We start from the raw sequence: 11,056 nt of genomic DNA on the forward strand, positions 1-11,056 counted from the left end.
CAGAAAATACATATGCAGGTTTGTTACCTGGGTATATTGGGTAATGCTGAGGTTTGGGTTATGAATGACCTCATCACCCAGGTACTAAGCATAATACCCAATAGTTAGTTTTTCAACCCTTGCCCCCCTCCTTCCCTTCCCTCTTTAATGGTTCCCAGTGTCTATTCTTGCCATCTTTATGTCCATGAGTACCCAATGTTTAGCTCCCACTCGTAAGTGAGAACACGTAGTATTTGGTTTTCTCTTTCTCCATTAATTTGCTTAGGATAACTGCCTCCAGCTGCATCCATGATGCTGTACAAAGGACATGATTTCATTCCTTTTTATGGCTGCATAGTATTCCATGGTGTATAAGCACCACTTTTTTTTTTTTTTACCCAATCCAGTGTAGATGAACACCTAGGTTGATTCCATGTCTTTGCTATTACTGTGAATAGCGTTGTGATGAACATGTGAGTGCATGTCTTTTTAGTAGAAAGATTTGTTTTCTTTTGGATATATATCCAGTAATGGAATTGCTGGGTCGATTTGTAGTTCTGTCTTAAGTTCTTTGAAAAATCTCCAAACTGCTTTCCACAGTGGATGAACTAATTTACATTTCCACCAACAGTGCATAAGCGTTCTCTTTTCTCTGCAGCCTCACCAGTATCTGCTAGTTTTTGACTTTTTAATAATAGCCATTCTAACTTGTGTGAGATGGTATCTCTGTGGTTTTAATTTACATTTCACTGATGGTTAGTGATGTGGAGCATTTTCTCATATGTTTGTTGGCCATTTGTAAGTCTTCCTTTGAGAAGTGTTTGTTCATGTCTTTGCCCACTTTTTAATGGGGTTATTTGGTTTTGGGGTTTTGTTTTGTTTTGTTTTGTTTTGTTTTGTTTTGTTTTGTTTTGTTTGAGACGGAGTCTCACTCTGTCGCCCAGGCTGGAGTGCAGTGGCGCGATCTCGGCTCATTGCAATCTCCGCCTCCCGGGTTCACGCCGTTCTCCTGCCTCAGCCTCCCGAGTAGCCGGGACTACAGGCGCCCGCCACCATGCCCGGCTAATTTCTTTTTGTATTTATGGTAGAGATGGGGTTTCACCTTATTAGCCAGGATGGTCTCGATCTCCTGACCTCGTGATCCGCCTGCCTCGGCCTCCCAAAGTGCTGGGATTACAGGCATGAGCCACGGCACCCAGCCTAATGGGGTTATTTGGTTTTTGCTTATTCAATTGTTTAGGTTTCTTATAGACTCTGGATATTAGAAATTTGTCAGATGCATAGTTGTGAATACTTTCTCCCATTCTGTAGGTGGTTTATTTACTCTATTGGTAGTTTCTTTTGCTGTGCAGAAACTATTTAGTTTAATTTGGCCAACTTGTCTATTTTTGGTTTTGTTGCAATTGCTTTTGAGAACTTAGTCATAAATTATTTCCCAAGGCTGATGTCCAGAATGGTGTTTCCAAGCTTTTCTTCCAGGATTCTTTTTTTTTTCCTCTTTTTTTTTTAATTATTATACTTTAAGTTCTAGGGTACATGTGCACAACCTGCAGGTTTGTTACATATGTATACATGTGCCATGTTGGTGTGCTGCACCCATTAACTCGTCATTTACCTTAGGTATATCTCTTAATGCTTTCCCTCCCCACTCTCCCACCCCTCTTTTTTTTTTTTTTTTAAGTTCCGGGATACCTGTTGATATGGTTTGACTGTGTCCCCACCCAAATCTCATCTTGAGTTCCCATGTGTTGTGGGAGGGACCTGGTGGGAAGTAATTGAATCATGAGGGCAGGTTTTTCCCATGCTGTTCTCGTGATAGTGAATAAGTCCCATGAGATCTGTTGGTTTTAAAAACTGGAGTCTCCCTGCACAAGCTCTCTCTTTGCCTGGTGCTATCTAAGTAAATGCAACTTGCTCCTCCTTGCTTTCTGCCATGATTGTGAGGCTTCCCCAGCCATATGGAACTGTAAGTCCATCATAAACCTCTTTTGTAAAGTGCCCAGTCTCAGGTATGCTTTTATCAGCAGCATGAAAATGGACTAACACACATGTGCAGGATGCAAAGGTTTCTTACATAGGTAAACATGTGCCATGGTGGTTTGCTGCACCTATCAACCTATCACCTAGGTATTAAGCCCTGCATACATTAGCTATTTAACTTCTAGGATTCTTATAGTTTGGAGTCTTACATTTACATCTTAATCCATCTTGAGTAAATTTTTGTATACGGTGATAGGTAGGGGTCTAGTCTTTTTCTTCTGCATATGGCTAGCAAGCTATCCCAGCACCATTTATTTAATATGGAGTTCTTTCCCTATTGCTTGTTTTTGTCTACTTTGTCAAAGATCAGATGGCTGTAGGTGTGCAGCTATATTTCTGGGCTTGCTATTCTGTTCCATTTGTCGATGTGTCTGTTTTTGTACCAGTACCATGCTGTTTTGGTTACTGTTGCCTTGTAGTATAGTTTGAACTTGGGTAATGTGATGCCTCCAGCTTTGTTCTTTTTGTTTAGGATTGCTTTGGCTATTCAGCCTCTTTTTTTGTTCCATATCATTGTTTTTTTCTAATTCTGTGAAAAATGCTATTGGTAGTTTGATAGGAATCGAATCTATAGATTGCTTTGAGCAGTATGGCCATGTTAATGATATTGATTCTTCCAATCCATGAGCATGGAATGTTTTTTCATTTGTTTGTGTCATCTATTATTTGTTTTAGCAGTGTTTTATAGTTCTCCCTGTAAAGATCTTTCACCTCCTTGGTTAGATGTATTCCTAGGTATTGTGTGTATGTGGGTGTGTGTGTGTGTGTGTGTGTGTGTGTGTTGTAAATGGTATTCCTTCTTTTTTTCCTTTTTTTTTTTTTTTTTTGAGACAGAGTTTTGCTTATGTGTCCCAGGCTGGAGTGCAATGGCACAATCTCAGCTCACTGCAACCTCCGCCTCCCAGGTTCAAGTGATTCTCCTGCCTCGGCCTCCTGAGTAGCTGGGATTATAGACATGTGCCACCATGCCCAGCTAATTTTTGTATTTTTAGTAGAGATGTGGTTTCACCATGTTGGTCAGGCTGGTGTCCAACTCCTGACCTCCAGTGATCCGCCCACCTCAGCCTCCCAAAGTGCTGGGATTACAGGCTTGAGCCACTGCACCCAGCTGGGATTGCTTCTTGATTTGGCTCTCAGCTTAAATATTGTTGGTATATAAAACTGCTACTGATTTTTGTACATTGATTTGGTATCCTGATACTATACTGAAGTCAAGGATTTCTTAAACAAGACCCAAAAGTACAAACTATAAAAGATTGACAAATTTAATATATTAAAACCATCACTTTCATTCATTGAAATACATCTTAAAGAAAGTGTGACATTATAAACTGGGAGAACTACTTTCAATAGGCATAACTGAAAAAGGATTAGTATTAATAATATATAAGGGGCCGGCACCATGGCTCATGCCTGTAATCCCAGCACTTTGGATGGCAGAGGCAGGAGGGTCACCTGAGGTCAGGAGTTCAGGACCAGCCTGGTCAACATGGTGAAACCCCGTCTCTACTAAAAATACAAAAATTAGCTGGGCGTGGTGACGCACGCCTGTAATCCCAGCTACTCAGGAGGCTGAGGCAGGAGAATCGCTTGAACCTGGGAGGCAGAGGTTGCAGTGAGCTGAGATTCTGCCATGGCACTCCAGCCTGGGTGCTCTGTCTCAAAAAAAGTAATAATAATGTATAAGGAACTCCTACAATTAATAAGAAAAAGACAAATAGCCCAATTGAAAAGTGGGCTAACAACATGAATAGGCATTTCACAGAATAGGAAACACATATGGCCAGGAAAAATATGAAGGGATATTCAATTTTACTGATTATCAGGAAAATAACAATCAAGACTCTAATGTATCATTTTATGCCCGTTTTACTGGCAAAATTAAAACAATACACTGACAATTCCAAGTGTTAATGAAGAGGTAGATCCATGGAATATCTTTAAGCTTAACAGTGGGTGTGTAAATTGATACAACCACTTTGGAAAAACATTTGACAATATCTACTAAAACTAAATATATACCCTAAAGTGCATTCCATCCACTATTAGGAATAGACCCAAAAGAATGTACACCAAAAAAAACCACATATGATAATGTACATAGCAGTACTCTCCACAATGGCAAAAACATGCTAAGAAAGCAAATGCCTTTCAAGAAATACTAGATGGGCCGGGCGTGGTGGCTCATGTCTGTAATCCCAGCACTTTGGGAGGCCAAGGCAGATGGATCACTTGAGGTTAGGAGTTCGAGAGCAGCCTGGCCAACACCGTGAACCTCGTATCTACTAAAAATACAAAAATTAGCCGGGCATGGTGGCAGTCACCTGTAATCCCAGCTACTTGGGAGGCTGAGGCAGGAGAATCGCTTGAACCTAGGAAGTGGAGGTTGCAGTGAGCCGAGATCATGCCACTGCACTCCAGTCTGAGAAACAGTGAGACGCCATCTCAAAAAAAAAAAAAAAAAAAACTGGATGAATAAACTGGGATATATTCACATAATGGAACATTATACAATAGTCATAAATGATGACATATAGAAATACCCAACAAATATGAATAAATCATAGCAATATAAAAAAAGTTGTCAAAATTCTTTAAGATGAAGACACATCAAATGTTTCTAATTCCAAATGTCTTAAATTACAATATAAGTAAAACTGGACATTTAAGCTGAGATGTAGCTGAAGAGTAGTTATGCCAGGTCACAACCTTTAAATAAACAAATTCATCTATTTTTCTGAAGTACAGGAGTAGGTTGCGTGCAGTGACTCACACCTGTAATCCCAGCATTTTGGGAGGCCAGGGTAGGAGGATCACTTGAAGCCAGGAGTTCCAGCCTGGCCAACAAAGTGAGACACTGTCTCTACTTAAAATAAGAATAAAAATAATTAGCTAGATGTGGTGGCACACACCTGTAGTCTCAGCTACTTGGGGGACTGAGACGGGAGGATTGCTTGAGTTCACGAGTTTGAGGCTGCAGTGAGCCATGATCACGCCACTGCACTCCAGCCTGGGCAACAGAGCAAGACTCTACCTCTGAAAAAAACATTAAATGTACATTTATCATATGAACCAGTGGTTCTACTACTGGAAATTTATCCAAGATAAATAAAGACATGTGTCCACAAAAAGACTTGGAAAAAAATCATGCTAACATCCCATCTCAGCCTCCCAAGTAGTTGTGACTACAGGCACATGGCACCATGCCCAGCTAATTTTTGTATTTTTGTAGAGACAGGATTTCACCATGTTGTTTAGGCTGGTCTCAAACTTCTCAGCTCAACCAATTGGCCTGCTTTGGCGTAACTCAAATGTTTATCAGCAGAAGGCCAGGCGCGGTGGCTCACGCCTGTAATCCCAACACTTTGGGAGGTCGAGGTGGGCAGATCACAAGGTCAGGGGTTCGAGACCAGCCTGGCCAACATAGCAAAACCTCGTCTTTACTAAAAATACAAAAATTAGCTGGGCATGGTGGCACACGCCTGTAATCCCAGCTACTCAGGAGGCTGAGGCAGGAGAATTGCTTGAACCCAGAAGGTGGAAGTTGCAGTGAGCCGAGATCGCGCCACTGCACTCCAGCCTGGGTGACAGAGCCAGACTCTATCTCAAAAAATAAAAAATAAAAAATAAAAAAATAAAAGGAGATGGTACTTGGAAAGTTCCTGGTCCAGGAATTTCATCTAATGGGTAATCAAAATTGTTGGCTCTTTAAAACAAAGCAAAATTTTTTTAAGGTTGGTTCCTTCTCTTTCTCTCTCTTACTCATTCTCTCTCTTTCATCCTAAATATAGAAACTCTTATGCTCTTAAGCACCTTGCTGGCATCTTTGTAGAAGATTTTAAAGGATATGTACACTGGAGAAGACAACAGTTTCTGGATTCTAATTGATTCTGCTTTAGAGAAAATTTTTGTACCTTACTGCTGTAAGGAATGGGAGTCTATTCCAGTCAGCTATGGAAAGAAACAAAATTGAACTTATAGAACACACTGATGAAATTCATGGTTTAGGCAATGGCGGTCTATAGTATGCCAAGCAATACCTCCCTGGTGTGGAAGCAATATGGTCCTATGCAGCCCTTGCAGATTTAAAGCATCAAACAAAAGACCAACAGATATTTACAGATTCTAAAATGATACTACTCAGAAGGCTGAAGGGGGAGGATCACTTGAAACCAGAAATTTAAGACCAGCCTGGGCAACATAGTGAGATCTCATCTTTTAAAAAAGAGGCCAGGCACGGTGGCTCATAGTGAAACCCCATCTCTACTAAAAACACAAAAATTAGCCAGGTATGGTGGCAGGCGCCTGTAGTCCTGGGAGGCTGAGGCAGGAGAATTGCTTGAACCTGGAGGGCGGAGGTTGCAGTGAGCCAAGACTGCGCCGCTGCACTCCAGCCTGGGTGACAGAGCAAGACTCCGTCTCAAAAAAAAAAAAGAAAGCTGGGCACAGAGGTGGCTCAGGCCTGTAATCCCAGCAGTTTGGGAGGCCGAGGCTGGTGGATCACCTGAGGTCATTGTTAGAGACCAGCCTGGCCAACTTGGTGAAACTCCATCTCTACTAAAAATACAAAAAGTAGCCAGTCGTGGTGGCAGGCAACTGTAATCCCAGCTACTCGGGAGACTGAGGCAGGAGAATCACTTGAACCTGGAAGGCAGAGATTGCAGTGAGCCGAGATCGTGCCATTGCACTCCAGCCTGGACAACAAGAGCAAAACTCCATCTCAAAAAAAAAAAAAAAAAGGCCAGGCACGGAGGTGGCTCAGGCCTGTAATCCCAGCACTTTGGGAGGCTGAGGCAGGTGGATCACCTGAGGTCCGGAGTTCAGGACCAGCCTGGCCAACATCGTGAAACCCCGTCTCTATTAAAAAAACAAAAAGTAGCCGGGCATGGTGCTGGGCACCTGTAATCCTAGCTACTCGGGAGGCTGAGGCAGGAGAATCACTTGAACCTGGGAGGCGGAGGTTGTGGTGAGCCAAGATCATGTCACCGCACTAGAGCCCGGGCGACAGAGCGAGTCTTCGTCTCAAAAAAAAAAAAAATTAGTCCAATGTGGTGTTGCATGAATGTAGTCCCAGCTACTGGGGAGGCTGGGCAGTTTGGTTTCATTCACTTTTGGTTTTCCCCCGTGTGCTGTCCTGAGATTGAGTAGTCCATTATCTCAGTGTTTTAGTCTGGTAAATGCTAAGTCCCTTTATTTGCAGACCTAACATTCTCGATCAGGAGCCTGGATGTTGCAAGGACCACTGGAATGAGAACAGCGGCAATGAAAATAGGAAGGTGTCTCTGGAAAAAGTGTGACCTCTTGGGGTGACCGAGGCACTCACTCCATAGTGGGTTGATTGTGCTCCCTGAAGATGTGCCAGGAGGACCAACATACTCTTCAGGCCCCCAGAGTCATGGTAATTCCCATTCTAGGTGATTATCTGACAAAACAACAATGTGAGATGTTTGCTCCTAGTGTGTACGGCCTCCCCTTGAGTCCTCAGATGCCTGGAGATGATTTATGCCTCAAGTCCCCAGCCTTCAAGGTCCTGCACCATCAAAACCATCCACAGTCAGCTATCTGTGCCCTTTTTACACATTAACTCATTTGGTACTTGCAACACTTCAGTGCTTATTTTATAGATGAGATTATCTTCTGGACTGACCCACATTTCATTGACATTGTATTATGAAAACAACTATCCAATTGGGAATTTTTCACTAGGACAGGAAGGATTATTTTAGTGATTAGATAACTGTAAACCAGCTAGTCTTTGTGTAAATACAGATCAAAAAGAGAAAAAAAGTAATTAAGCCTTCAATATCAGCCAGGAGAGGGTTTTGTTTGTTTGTTTGTTTGTTTGTTTGTCTGTTGCCCAGGCTGGAGTGCAGTGGAGCAATCTCGGCTCACTGCAACCTCCGCCTTCCGGGTTCAAGCAATTCTTCTGCCTTAGCTTCCTGAGTAGCTGAGATTACAGTCGCTCACCCCTACACCTGGGTATTATTAGTATTTTTGTATTATTTTTGTATTATTTTTAGTATAGACAGGGTTTTGCCATGTTGGCCAGGCTGGTCTCAGACTAACCAGGAGAGAGTTTAATAAATATTCTTGCCTGGAGGTTGCTTCCACTGGATCAGATGCTGATCTATCCTGCCTTACAGGAATTCAGGAAATGAGCTTCACTTATTGCATCTCCCAACTCCTCTGTCTTCACCTCTCTCCATCTCTACCCTTCTCTCCCTCATCTCCTAGGAAGATTTACCTTCAGTCTTGCCCAAAAGCAGACCTACTAATTCTAGCCAGGCCTGAGGATTCTTCTTGGCTCAGGCATCCACATAATGCAATTAGGTTTAGGTAAGTTCTCAAAACCTAGCATCCCCTGCAATTATAACAAGGCTGAGCATGTGCACTTATGGGCCAATTACTCTCAAGAAACTTTATAGATATTGTCTCATTTTTTCAACATTGTATTGCATTGAAAGAGGTAGGGGCCAGGTGCAGTGGCTCACACCTGTAATCCCAGCACTTTGGGAGGCCAAGGTGGGTGGATCACTTGAGGCCAGGAGTTCAAGACCAGCCTGGCCAACATGGCGAAACCCATCTCTGCTAAAAAGAAAATACAAAAATTAGCAGGTTGTAGTGGCACACACTTGTAGCCCCAGCTACTCGGGAGGCTGAGGCGTGAGAACTGCATGAGTCTGGGAAGCGGAGGTTGCAGTGAGCAGAGATCCCACCACTGCACTCCAATCTGGGTGACAGAGTGAGACTCTGTCTCCAAAAAAAAAAAAAAAAAGAGGTAGGAAGTCAACATTATCCTGATGTTTTTCAAACAGAGGTCAAGAAATGGAGAGGCCGGGCGTGGTGGCTCACGCCTGTAATCCTAGCACTTTGGGAGGCCGAGGCGGGTGGATCACGAGGTCAGGAGATCGAGACCATCCTGGCTAACATGGTGAAACCCCGTCTCTACTAAAAATACAAAAAATTAGCCGGGCGTGGTGGCGGGCGTCTGTAGTCCCAGCTACTCGGGAGGCTGAGGCAGGAGAATGGTGTGAACCCAGGAAGCGGAGCTTGCAGTGAGCCAACATTGCGCGCCACTGCACTCTAGCCTGGGCCACAGAGCGTGACTCTGTCTCAAAAAAAAAAAAAAGAAAGAAAAGAAATTGAGCATACAAAGAGTGAATGACAGAGTCAGGAAATAGTGAGACCCTCAGAGCCATTCTGTTCATTTGCTCTTCACATAGAGACAGAATAGAAAGCAGCAACATGATATAAACCAGCACAGAGTCCTAACTTTCTTACCTCAGAAAAGCCTGTTTAACAACTGCCTGTTATAGAAATCCTGATCAGTCACCTGGTTCTGCTATTCTAAATTTTGAAAAAGAGGTAAGAAATCTGGTACAGAGGAAGCAGGTATTATGGCATATAGCAAGTTAGCAAGGTATCTTGGTCTGTTTTGTGCTGTATAACAGAAAACCATAGACTAGGCAATCTGCAAAGAAGATAAATTTATTTTATCGCAGCTCTAGAGTCTAGGAAGTACAAGATCTGGGTGCCAGTATCTGGCGAGGGCCTTCATGCCATGTCATCCCATGGCAGAAGGGTAAAGAGAGAGACAGTGCAAGAGGTGGCCAAACCCAGCCTTTTACAAGGAGCCCAGCCCCAAGATAACAAACCCACTCCCAAGATAATGGCATTAATTCATTCGTGAGGGTGGAGCCCTTGTGACTTAAACACTTCTTAAAGCTCCCAATACTGCTGCATTGGAGGTCAACATATGAACTTTGAGGGACACATTCAAACCATAACACAAGACTTTGTAGAAAAAGACTTTTGTAGCCAGAAAGAACCTTAGATATTAAAGGTCTAATAACCCTTTCATTTCACAGGAGATACAAATGAGGCTTGGTCAAGGTCACACACCACGGTTATGACAGGAATCTTGGGTATCCTGACTCCCAAGCCAGTGTTCTTAGTTCTTTCTATACAGCATGAATGGTCCAATGACTCCAGCTTCCAGACAAAGTACAGATATATCCTGCACATCCACTGTTCATAAATGATATGCCACCATAATGGCTCTTGAAAATACCTTCTTTTGGGCCAGGCACAGTGGCTCACCCCTATAATCCCAACACTTTGGGAGGCCGAGGCAGGCGGATCACCTGAGATCGGGAGTTTGAGACCAGCCTGGCCAACGTGGTGAAACCCCATCTCTACTAAAAATACAAAATAAGCCGGGCGTGGTGACGCATGCCTGTAATCCCAGCTACTCAGGAGGCTGAGGCAGGAGAATCGCTTGAACCTGGGAGGCGGAGGTTGCGGTGAGCCGAGATCGCACCATTGCACTCCAGTCTGGGCAATGAGCAAAACTCCAGCTCAGAAAAAAAAAAAAAAAAAAGAAAAAAAGAAAAGAAAATACCTTCTTTCTCAGTCACGCCGTAAAGTGGTAAATCAGCAGGCCCTGGTGGCTCAGACACTACACATTCCAAAGAAAGGCCTGTCTTCGGGAGGACTGGCCCTTGACCCACTCCAAGAAGATAACCACTGGGCCCTTGGAATATCAAGCCTATTGAGAATGTTTTTCTATTGCTGAAGCCTTGGGTAATTTTGTATCAACGTGAGCTCTGAGGAGCAGTGTCTGAGGAGCTGAGGTCAGTGGGTGCTGCATGTCTATGTGACCGACCCCAATAAAAACCCTAAACACCAAGTCTTGGGTTAGCTTCCCTGATTGACAACACTTTGCACATGCTGTCACACATCCTTGCTGGGGAAGTAGGCAGCGTCCGTGTGAGTCCACTGGAGAGGAAAACTGGAAGTTTCTACCCAATTTTTCCTGGATTCCACCCCATGTGCCTTTTCCCTTTGCTGATTTTAACCTGTATCCTTTCACTGTAATAAACCATATCGGTGAGTATAATAGTTTTTTTGAGTCCTTTGAGACCTTCTAGTAAATCATTGAGTCTGAGAGTGGTCTTAGGAACCCCTGGGATACCAATATACATTTTTTTTTTGCTCTAAAACACTCTAAATAAATGACTATGAGAACTCATCTTTC

This window comes from Homo sapiens, chromosome 14 (genome assembly GCF_000001405.40).
Source record: "Homo sapiens chromosome 14, GRCh38.p14 Primary Assembly".
Lineage (NCBI taxonomy): Eukaryota > Metazoa > Chordata > Mammalia > Primates > Hominidae > Homo > Homo sapiens.